This window comes from Homo sapiens, chromosome 4 (assembly GCF_000001405.40).
Source record: "Homo sapiens chromosome 4, GRCh38.p14 Primary Assembly".
In the NCBI taxonomy this organism is placed as follows: domain Eukaryota; kingdom Metazoa; phylum Chordata; class Mammalia; order Primates; family Hominidae; genus Homo; species Homo sapiens.
The window spans coordinates 110195363-110206499 of record NC_000004.12 but is presented as its reverse complement, the minus strand read 5'-3'; the positions used below and the strand labels follow the sequence as shown (position 1 = coordinate 110206499).

Sequence of the window (11137 nt, the reverse complement as noted above, 5' to 3'; positions counted from 1 at the left end):
TGCAGACATAATAAAGATAAGGATCTAAATGAGATGATACTAGATTAGGGTGGATCCTAAATCCAATGAAAGTGAGTTTATAAGAAATAGAAAGAAGACAGAAAGACGGAGAGAAGAGGGTGATGTGAAGATGGAGGCAGAAATTGGAGTAATGTGTCTACAAGCCAAGGAATGCCACAGTTTGCCAGCAACCACCAGAAGCTAGTGGTATGGGACAATTTCTTCCTCAGAGCCTCCAGAAGCCAACTCTGCAGACATCTTGATTTCTTTTTCTCCCTAAACTGATCAGCAGTATTTTGATTATTTTTTTCCTGACACCTGGATTTTGGACTTCTAACCTCCAGAATGACATGAGAATACATTTTTGTTATTTTTAAGCCATCAAGTTTGATCAAGTTTGTGGTAATTGTTATGGCACCCTAAGAAACTTTGGCTTCAGGAAGTCATCGTTCCTGCGATCAAGGGATTTTTAATTTCCTACATGGGAGAGGATGATGAGCTAAGGGCCTGAGGTTTATAAAAGCTTTGATAACAAGGACTTCAAGAGGTTAGGAGACAAGAAAGAGAGAAATCATCTCTGTGAACAGGGAAGGCTTTAAGTAGGAAGTCGTTCGTAAGTATCCAAAGAGTGGACTGATTTTGACAGGTAGGAATGGGACAGGTGGGGTTAGGAGGGGAGGATATTGATATTCCAAACAGAGGGAACTGATGGAGAAATGCAGCAGAGATAGCAAAGTTTGAGGTGGTCAGATGACATCAAGTGGTTCAGCTTGGTTGGAGTCGGCCTAAGGAAAGAGGCCTGGAAAAGCAGATTAGTGTTAGAAGTTTCCGAAAATAATGTATGTGTATTTTAACATATTTGTATGTCACAAAAATTGGGGGCTGGTATGAAGATCCTCCAGCATAGTACTGGTTATTTTATGTATAGAAAGAAAATTAGGCTGGGTGAGGTGGCTCACGCCTTGTAATTCCACCATTTTGGGAGACTGAGGCGGGAGGATCTCTTGAGCTCAGGAGTTTGAGAGCAGCCTGGGCAACGTGGTGAGACCTCATTTCTACAAAACATTTTTTAAAAATTAGCAGGGCTTGGTGGTGGGTGCCCGTAGTCCCAGCTACTTGGGAAGTTGAGGCAAGAGGTTCACTTGAGCCCAGGAGTTCAAGGATGAGGTGGGCCATGATTACACCACCACACTCCATTCAGCCTGGGCAACAAAGCTAGACTGTCTCAAAAAACAAAAACAAAAACAAAGAAAAGAAAAGAAAATTAAAGGATCAATTTACTTTCCCTAAAGTCAGATACCTGTCTGTAAAAGAGCCAAGACTAAAACCTGTATACCTTGTTTAGTAGTCAAGTCATCTTTGCAGTAAATCTTTCTGTCTTTCAAATACTCCTCCTTCTCTTCTGGCTTAATTTTTATTTTTTTCTCGAGACAGAGTCTAGCAATGTCTCTCAGGCTGGATTGCAGTGGCGCCATCTCAGCTCACTGCAACCTCTGCCCCCCGGGTTCAAGCGATTCTCCTGCCTCAGCCTCCCAAGTAGCTGGGATTACAGGCGCCCGCCACCACGCCCAGCTGATTTTTTGTATTTTTAGTAGAAACGGGGTTTCACTATGTTGACCAGGCTAGTCTCAAACTCTTGACCTCATGATCCGCCCACCTCGGCCTCCCAAATTTTTAAAAGTTTACTACCAAATATAAATTAACTGTTACTTTTTGAGCCCCAGTTATTTATATTCAATATTAGCTACCTATCTAGTTATGGTTAGAAACACACACAATAAATCTTTTCATAAAAATTCTTAGTGGTGTTGCTGGGCACCCTCCCAACATTCCCTCCCATCTTTCCTAACCTTACTGTATGTCTTGTAATTGAAAATAAGTCTAGAAAAATCACCATTTTATATGTTTAGCTTCTAATATTATGTTACATGTTAAGTTGTTCAGTATAGAAAATTACAAATAGAAAAGTGACTCATTATTTCACAGCTCAGGTATTCCTGTTGATTTTTTTTCTTTTTTTTTAAATGAAATCAAGTTCATGGTAAGAAAATTCTAGCACTACAGAAAAATAAAGTACAGAAACCGTCTTTTGTTTGCTCTCAGGTTTTTTCTCAATGTATACATCACCAATTAATTCTTGTTTTTGTCTTTCCAGAAAAAAAAAGTACAGTGTAGATGTTTCTCTTTTCTTTTCTTTCTTTCTTTTTTTTTTTTTTAGCTGATGTCTTGCTCTGTTGCCTTAGGTTGGAGTGCAGTAACACTAACATGGCTCAAGACCACAGGCTTGTGCCACCACATCTGGCTAATGATTTTTTAAAAATTATTATTATTATTATTTTCTTTTTGTAGAAACAGGGTTTCACTATGTTGCCTAGGCAGTCTCAAACTCCTGAGCTCAAGCGATCCTCCTTCCCCAGCCTCCCAAATGGCTGGCATTACAGGTGTGAGCCACCACATCCGGCCTTACATGTTTTCCTCTTTTTTTCCTCCCCAACCACTACAACGAGAGATGTTTTTTTCTTAATGCGACACTATATACACAATGTCCTGTGCCTTGCTTTTTCATTTTCCTTGAACATTTATCAGAAATCTCTTTTGATGTTGCAACCTACAGAGCCTTTTTTAAAAGACTTTATACTATTCAATTATAAGGGTGTGTCACCATTTATTTAATCAGCCTCCTATTTGTTAGGGTCCACCCAACCGGACTGTTTCCCCCTCCCCTAGACCTAAGCCTCAAAGGCCAAAAGTAAAACCCACTACCCTAAACCTTCCTGTAACTGTCTGACCAGAGGCCAGCTGTTCCAGGATGCAGTCAAGACATCTACCTCCACGCCTGGTGCTCAGAGAACGTTTTACACCCCCTTTTTGCCATACAGTCCCAATTCTGCCTCCCTAGCCAAGGTATATTCTTTCTATGCAGCACCTCCACCTGCTTCTGTCTACCCACCAACTGTACAGGCACCTGTACACTGGTCTTCCTCAGCCCTAAAATAGACATAGCTCCAGGAGAAAACCTGCCCCTCCAAACCCTAAATACTCAAATCCCACACAGCAGGCGCCAGGCCATACAACTTATCCCACTATTTGTAGACCTAGGCATCACAGTGGCCGCAGGTACAGGGGTAGCAGGAATCGCAACCTCCTCTTATTACCATAAAACCTTATCAAAAGACCTTTCAGATGGTATAGACAACCTTGCAACTTCCATATCCCCTTACAAGCTCAGCTGGACTCCCTAGCGGCAGTCGCCTTACAAAATCAGAGAGGTCTCAACCTACTTACCACCGACAAAGGAGGATTCTGCATTTTCCTAGATGAAGAATGCTGCTTTTATTTTAACCAGTCAGGCTTAGTTCAGGATGCAGTAAAAAACAAACAAACAAACAAACAAAATCTCAAAGATCGAGCCCAAAAGATCAGGGAAAGCAGCTCCTCTACGTGGCCCTCTTGATCTCTCAGCACCTGGGCCGCCTGGCTACCCTCTCTCCTTGGACCTGCTGTAATCCTTTTTCTCCTCCTAATCTTAGGTCCTTGCCTAATACTCCTCTTCACCCAGTTTTTGCAGAATCGTATCCATGCCTTTGCCCATGGAACCATACAGGTCATGATGTTACTCCAGGAGTATCAACACTTTCAAAACCAAAGCCAACCTCCACTTTCCAGCCTTTCCCCTAGCCCCTGCCCACTCTCAGCCTGAAGCAGTCTGATGAAATCAATGCCCCTTCTCTATCATCTGTTAAAAGGCTGGAATGTTAGGGTCCACCCAACTGGACTGTTTCCCGCTCCCATAGACCTAAGCCCCAAAGCCCCACCTGTAACTGTCGGACCCGAGGCCAGCTGTTCCAGGATGCGGTCAAGAAGTCTACCTTACACAACAGAACTGGCAAGAAAAACAACTCCAGGAAGCGGTCAGACACCTGGCACAAAGGATCCCCTACTCCCTGGCCTTTTCTTTTTCCTTCACCCTGACCCAGTTATATGCCCTATAAAACCTTGCTATATAGCCTGTAAGCGGGGCTGCCTCCTCTGCTTTTGTCAAGAGGTAGCCCACCAGGACTGACAATGAATCACATTGACTTGAGTCTATTGACCTCATTCCTTTCTTGGCTGTCCTTCCAATTATCCCTTAAACTATTATTTTCAGTGTTTTATTATAAACAGTGCTGAATATATTTGTGGGGGTTTTCTTTGTTGGTGTTGTCATTTTTTGAGACAAGGTCTCACTCTGTCATTCGGGCTGGAGTGCAGTGGCGCAATCATGGCTCACTCCAGCCTTGACCTCCCCAGGCTCAGGTGATCTTCCCACTTCAGCCTGCTGAGTAGCTGGGAATATAGACACATGCCACCATGCTCAGCTAATGTTTTTGTATTTTTTTTTTTTGTAGACACAGGTTTTCACCATCTTGCCCAGGCTGGGCTTGAACTCCTGGGCTCCAGCAATCAGCCCACCTCGCCCTCCCAAAGTGCTGGGATTACAAGCATAATGCCAGCCCAATGCTGAATATCTTAGACATATATCCGGAATGTTTCGGTGAGTATATCCATAGCAGTGAATTTACTAGGAATTATCATGCTATTATTCGGTTTAACATTCTTTTATCCTCCTCCACTCCACTGCAGTTGAGAATAAAATCTAAACACCTTATCTTGATTTACCTGTGGCCAAGATCTGACCCCTGCCTGTCTCTTCAACCTGTTTCTTTCAATTACTCCTTACTGATGGCCTGAAGCCACACCAGCCTTTTGTCCTCAATCCCGCAAATTTATTCTTTTCCTAGGAGCCTTTGTACTTGCTCATTCTTCTTTGTAACACTTCTGCAAGAGGTGGCTGGCTCTTTGCCAGCGGGGTCTCAACTCAAAGTCCTTCTCCCTGAGGCCTTCCAGGTTTAAATGAGCACTCCCAGGCCTTCATGTCATGCTGTTAAATTGTAATCCTAGCATTTCATTCTCTAAGAAATTATTTTGTCTTCCCTTCTGGAATGTAAGCTCCAAGTGCGCAAGAGCCCTGTTTGTCTCATTTGTGAGTCCCAAGAGCTCAGATGAGTATGTACTCAAAATATATCTGGTAGGCCAAGTGCGATGGCTCACGCCTATAATCCTAGCACTTTGGGAGACTGAGGCAGGCAGATCACCTGATGTCAGGGGTTCAAGACCGTCCTGGCCAACATGGTGAAACCCTGTCTGTACTAAAAATACAAAAATTAGCTGGGCATGGTGGCACATTCCTGTAATCCCAGCTACTTGGAAGGCTGAGACAGGAGACTCACTTGATCCCAGGAGGCAAAGGTTGCAGTGAGCCGAGATCGCGCCACTGCACTCCAGCCTGGGCAACAGAGGGAGACATCATCTCAAAAAAAAAAATAATTCTGGTGAATTAATGGTGTGGATTTAAAATTGTGATATATGCTGGGTGCCTATAGTCCTAGCGTGGAAAACATAACAAGTCCCCATCTCTAAAAAATAAATGAAATTATCATATAGGCTGCCAAATTGCTTTCCATACAGAGTCACCAGTTTTCAAAGTCACTGACAGTGCTTGTTTGTTTTTGAGATAAGGTCTCACTCTGTCACCCAAGCCGGACTGCAGTGGTGTGATCATGGCTCACTGCAGCCTTGACCTCCCAGGCTCAAGCTATCCTCCCATCTCAGCCTCCAGAGTAACTGGGATTACAGGCATGTACCACCACACCTGGCTAATTTTTAATTTTTTGTAGAGATGGAGCCTCACTATGTTGCCCAGTCTGGTCTCTAGCAATTGTCTTGCCTCAGCCACCCAAAGTGGATTTTCTGTCTTGATTCCTTTCTCACTTCTTACCTTAATTTATTTGATGAATCATTCACTTTACAAATATTTATTGATTATTCACAGGCTCAGGCACCGTGCTAAAATGGTTCTTTCTTATCTGGCCACACCTATCTTCCAGCCCAATCTTGCCAAGAGTTTTGGCCTGGGCCTTACTTCAAAGTGACGTAGACTTGTACTGTAGAGGTCTCTAGAAAGACAACCCTTGGCTGGGCATGGTGGCTCATGCCTGTAATCCCAGAACTTTGGGAGGCTGAGACAGGTGGATCACAGCCAGCCTGGCCAACATGGTGAAACCCCATCTCTACTAAAAACACAAAAATTAGGCGGGCGTGGTGGTGCTTGCCTATAATCCCAGCTACTGGGGAGGCTGAGGCAAGAGAACCATTTGAACCTGGGAGGCGGAGGTTGCAGTGAGCCGAGTTTGCACCACTGCACTCCAGCCTGGGCAACAGGGCGAGACTCCTCCATCTCAAAAAAAAAAAGAAAAAGAAAAAAGAAAGACAACCCTTAATGGGGGAGATGAGGACAGTCCCTACACAGAATCTTTGGCAGTGTCAATGTATACATTAATTTGCTAATCAACTAGGCTAGCCCTTTAATCTATATATTGTACTGGATTTTAAAAATTATTTCTTTACTTTCTCATTAGACCTTCCTCTTTTTTTTTTTTGTTTGTTTGTTTGGAGACAGAGTCTCCCTCTGTCGCCCAGGCTGGAGTGCAGTGGCAGAATTTTGGCTCACTGCAACCTCTACCTCACGGGTTCAAGCGATTCTCCTGCCTCAGCCTCCTGAGTAGCTGAGGTTACAGGTGCCCGCCACCACGCCTGCCTGATTTTTATATTTTTAGTAGAGACGGAGTTTCACCATGTTGGCCAGGCTGTTTTGAACTCCTGACCTCAGGTGATCCGCCCACCTCGGCCTCCCAAAGTGCTGGGATTACTTCTGTGAGCCACCACCGCGGCCGGTCCCTTCCTCCTTTAAAAATTTTTCTCCCAGTTCCCACTTTTTGTGGGTTAGAGGCATCTAAATTGAATGAAAGTACCCTTTTTGGACTACTGGGGAGGTGGGGGGATGTTCTCAGAAGGGGAATTTTCTTTCTGGTCCTAATATCCACCTAATTTTTAAAAGCAGGGCTCCTTATTATTTTGTAAAGTTTACAATTACATCATTAGATACTTCCATGTCTCATATTTCATTTTTCCAAACTCTTGGGGGAAATGAGTGGAGGGATGGATGGAATAGAAAATAGTTTTTCCTCTTGGAGGCTGAGGGCCCAGTAGGGGTCAACAGTACATTCAGCCCTCTCCTCACATATTCTGTTCTACCTACAAGTACAGCAAGTAAAGCCAAATTTCTCATGCATGCAAATAAAGTTTTTGCATTTGGCCAGTCGGTCCAGTTCTCCTGTCAGCTTCCTTCCCCACTCTGCCTCTGTTCATTAATCCCCCCCTTCCCGGTACCTAAACCCTCCACCTAACCCAGCCCTTTCTTCCACTTCCGGCTACTAGCCTCTCTCGCCTATCCACTATCCTCACACTCAGCATCCCCTGTCTGTACGAGATTAAGGAGCTCTGCCGTCCGCAGGGCCTGGGTTAGCGTGAATCTAAGCCAGAGCTCCCGGGTGGGGGTGGGGGTAGGGGTGGGGGTGGTCCCAGAGGTAGGGCGAGGAGGTGGGAAGCGTATTCCCTTCACTGGTGATCTCAACGTAGATTTGCCCGGAGTTCTCTTGCAAGAGAGCTGGCAGGTTTTACTATTTCCCAATCGTTTACTCGCCAAGCTCTCGGGTCCACGCGCCGCGGGGATGCGCCCTGCAAGCTGAAACTTCATTCAAAGCAAGGCGGCCCACGAGGTTGGGCTTAGGGGATCTGGATGACCTCCAGGCCACTTCCTTTCTCTCTGCGCCCTTCCCCCACTCTTCCAACCACCTTCGCTGTAAACAAAACTGTCCCCCCCGGGCGGAGAGAGGTCGCGCTCTTTCGCACACTCCCTCGCCAAGGGTTAATTTCTCAAATCGCACGAGGGGGAGGAGATTTCCCTGTAGACGAGTAAAAAGGGTGATGGACAAACGTGCGGGCACTAAGACCGCAAGGCATTCATTTCCTCCTACGGTGGATGCGGACGCCGGGAGGAGGAGAGCCCCAGAGAGAGGAGCTGGGAGCGGAGGCGCAGGCAATGCTCAGCCCTGGATGTAGCTGAGAGGCTGGGAGAAGAGACGACCGCTGGAGACCGAGCGGCGTGGGGAAGACCTAGGGGGGTGGGTGGGGGAAGCAGACAGGAGAACACTCGAAATCAAGCGCTTTACAGATTATTTTATTTTGTATAGAGAACACGTAGCGACTCCGAAGATCAGCCCCAATGAACATGTCAGTGTTGACTTTACAAGAATATGAATTCGAAAAGCAGTTCAACGAGAATGAAGCCATCCAATGGATGCAGGAAAACTGGTACGTGATGCTTTCGCCTGATACTGTTCCCGGGAGCCCTGCGCGTCTTCCCGGAGTGCCTTAATGTCGGTATTCCCTGCCTGGGCGTGAATGGAGCGATGAATCGCGGGCAGCCAGCTGATCGCTGAGTTCTCGGGTCTCCCGGGTGCAGGAGACGCTGGGGGGGGGGGGGTACATGAAGCGCGAGGTCTGTGGGTGCCCCTGTGTGAACCGCGGCTACATAGGCATCTTTTATATAGATTATATAACACAGAACATATGTGTGTGCACAGGGTGATGTCTGCGCGACAGGGAAGGCGGGAGAGATGCCACAGTCCAGATCGCCTACCTGTGCTCCCCTCCCCTCCCCCGGTTTTCATCTAGATTTGGGTTTTCTCGCTTGGCCTCTCCCGCAACCGGAGTGTGAAAGGCAGTGGAGGGAGGACCTTGTCTCCTGTTGCCTTTAACCCTCTCCCGCCCGCCGCCCTTGGCCCTGGTCCTCGCTGTCTCTCCATCCCTCGTGTCCTTCCTTTCTCCTTGCAGCGCTCCTACTTCACCGTCCTCCTCTGTCTGCCGCTCCTCAGGCGGATGCCCCCTTTTTAGTACCCCTTTCCCCACGCGGTTCCCTTTCCGGTTTCATAGAGAGACCGGGTGGGAGGGAGGAGGGGACAATGAAAACAGTAATAAATGAATGAACCCGAGCGAGTGGAGCCACGCCATTATTAAGTTTCTGTTTTACGGAAACGCCTTTTGGACACACTTCTAATTCTGTGCGTAGCTGCTGATTGGAGTTCAGGCACACAGATTAAAAGCCCCTCCGTCTGCAGAGTCCTTAGGGGCTCTTCCCTAGGAAACTAATAATCAGGGAAAACACCTTTCTTGTTTACTGTAGTCCCCCCGCCAGACCTTTTGAAAATCCCTGTGTGGGAGGCGATCCAGTGTCACCTTGCAATATTTAACAGAGGAGGGTGTGCTCATCTCGCTTCTTGTAGACAGGGTTGTGGCAGAGGCATTCCTCTCCTCCCCTTAACTTCGGGTCTGGCGATCTGTAAAGTTCAAGCCCAACGCACCCCGGAGCTAGGCAAGGGGCCGGCAGCCCGGGGGATGGCTTGACCGGGGAGGGTCGGGCCGCAGGGTCTCCCGGGAGCCGGGGGATTCCGCCCGCCGCGTGCGCGAGCGCGCGTGCCCCGCGCCCTCCCGCCTGCCCTCTTCAACTGGAAACCAGAAACGCCGGCGCGCCTGTGGCCTGGGCGGGTTGGTGCAGTAGGAGCTGGTGCCACGGGGCCGCAGCTGCGAAAAGGGGGTTTCAACTTCCTGTCCTCCAGCCCCCTGGAGTCGCCGGCCAGTGTCGGGAGGCCCGGCCGCCGCTTCCTTCTCCTCCCGCCCGGCCGGAGCGCGCCCACTCCCAGCTTCCCGCGGGCTGGTCCGGGCCCCAATGGCCATTTGCGGCGGCTGCCGGGCGGAGCCCGCCTCCTGGGCCGCGCGCACCGGCGGGGCAGGCCTGCTTGGGGTGAGCTGCGGCGTGGCTGGTGGCGGCGGTGGGCTAGGGGCCCAAGGGCCGCGTCTGGCCCGAGCCGGAGCCTAAGAGGCGGGGACGCGGGCCGCTCGGAAGGACTGGAAGTGCAGCAGCCACACAGGCACAGGGCTGGTGCCCTCCCGGGCCGCTGAGGCCAGGGGGTGCAGGGGTGGGTCCGGAAGGAGGTTGGACACTAAGGGTCGAGACCGCAGATAGACCTCGGCGTTTCGGGGCAGCCGAGGCCCCTCGAGCCCCACCGCCCGGGGTCCTTCTCTGGATGCACTTCCTCCTCCCGCTTAGGGGGTGGTGCTGGAGGCGGGGAGGGGGCGGTGGCCGGAGCCGGCGGGCGCCGGAACCGCGCTGCTGGCTAGCCCCGGGCCCGGGTCTTCTCCGCACATGTTTGTCATATCCTCCAGCCGGCCTGTTCGGGCCCACAGTCCTCCCGCATTAGCCTGTGTGGTCAGTGTGGTCAGCATTTGCTTCTGTGCCGAATCTCTGACTTGCTGCGTCCTGGTTTAACCTGCTCTTCCGGAGTCCGCTTTCCCTCGCTTTGCTGGCTGACCCCATTCACTGTACGCCCGCCATTCCTAGCCCACTGCAGTCGATACTGCCTCTTATTTACTTGTTGCTTTTTCTCTGAGGCCACTTCCTAGGCCTGCTTCAGGTACCATTTCCCGCCTCTTCTCTCCATTCACTCAGTACTGAGCCAGACAGGTCTCAGCCCTCGTGGGACTGAAAATGACAAAAATGTGCCAACGTATCTACTCCTGTTAGGTTCTGACCACTGTTTCCTCCTAGTTCTTTATCTGTACCTTTCTTCTGGCAATATCCTTTACTGTTATATACATGGTTATTAACTTACAGACCATCAGCTCTTCAGGTTACGGTTCTTGTCATCCCACTCTTGATTCTGCAAAGCACCTAGCAGAGTGCTTTGCATAAGGCACATTCTTGAGAAAATGTCCAGTGAGTTGAAATGGTGATTGGTGCCCATTTTATTGCCAGCACTACTCGTTAATACCCGAAGGTTAACAGGCTAGAACTTGCATACCGTGGCAGAGTCACATCTTGGGATTTTTCCCTTCCTGGCTTCTGCTCTCTGTTGATGTTATGTTCTTAGATTGCTTATTGCAGTCAAAGAACCCTGCTGGCTGTTACCCCTCCCTTGCAACTCTTCCTGACCCTAATTGTCTTACTTTCATGTTTTTTTTTAAATGCCAGATTTTGTGCATTTCTCCCAATATCCCAGGGTGCCCAATTTTATCTCTCCTCCCTCCCCAAAAACTGTACAGCCAAAAAGACTTTAAACACTTTTTAAAATTTAATTTTATTAGCCGGGTGTGGTGGCTCCTGCCTGTAATCCCAGCACTTTGGGAGGCTGAGGTGGGT

General features: G+C 48.7%; 1 protein-coding gene across 4 annotated transcripts in view, besides 4 other annotated features; it reads left to right on the top strand.

The window, feature by feature from the left end:
- Positions 1 to 7297: 7297 nt before the first annotated feature.
- Positions 7298 to 11137, top strand: part of ELOVL6 (ELOVL fatty acid elongase 6) — a 153357-nt gene continuing 149517 nt past the window's right edge. Inside the window, exons 1-2 of one of the 4 annotated variants that reach the window (XM_011532233.4) lie at positions 7298 to 7400; positions 8133 to 8253. In XM_011532233.4, the coding sequence (XP_011530535.1) occupies positions 8165 to 8253 (89 nt within the window). In that variant the 5' untranslated portion in view covers positions 7298 to 7400; positions 8133 to 8164. Of the gene's footprint in view, positions 7659 to 7884; positions 8254 to 11137 lie in introns of those variants that run through there. The other 3 variants (XM_011532234.4, NM_001130721.2, NM_024090.3) reach the window with 3 other exon arrangements.
- Positions 7512 to 8304: an enhancer, noted in NCBI's record as "NANOG-H3K27ac hESC enhancer chr4:111119352-111120144 (GRCh37/hg19 assembly coordinates)". NCBI's record gives its function as "activates a minimal SCP1, AML or CMV promoter by ChIP-STARR-seq in primed H9 embryonic stem cells {active_cell/tissue: H9 hESC(primed)}" and the evidence as "EXISTENCE:reporter gene assay evidence [ECO:0000049][PMID:30033119]".
- Positions 9219 to 9848: a silencer, noted in NCBI's record as "silent region_15628". NCBI's record gives its function as "represses an Ori minimal core promoter by ATAC-STARR-seq in GM12878 lymphoblastoid cells {active_cell/tissue: GM12878}" and the evidence as "EXISTENCE:reporter gene assay evidence [ECO:0000049][PMID:35858748]".
- Positions 9893 to 10187: an enhancer, noted in NCBI's record as "tiled region #3955; K562 Activating DNase matched - State 1:Tss". NCBI's record gives its function as "activates a minimal TATA promoter and a strong SV40 promoter by Sharpr-MPRA in K562 cells {active_cell/tissue: K562}" and the evidence as "EXISTENCE:reporter gene assay evidence [ECO:0000049][PMID:27701403]".
- Positions 10049 to 10158: a silencer, noted in NCBI's record as "silent region_15627". NCBI's record gives its function as "represses an Ori minimal core promoter by ATAC-STARR-seq in GM12878 lymphoblastoid cells {active_cell/tissue: GM12878}" and the evidence as "EXISTENCE:reporter gene assay evidence [ECO:0000049][PMID:35858748]".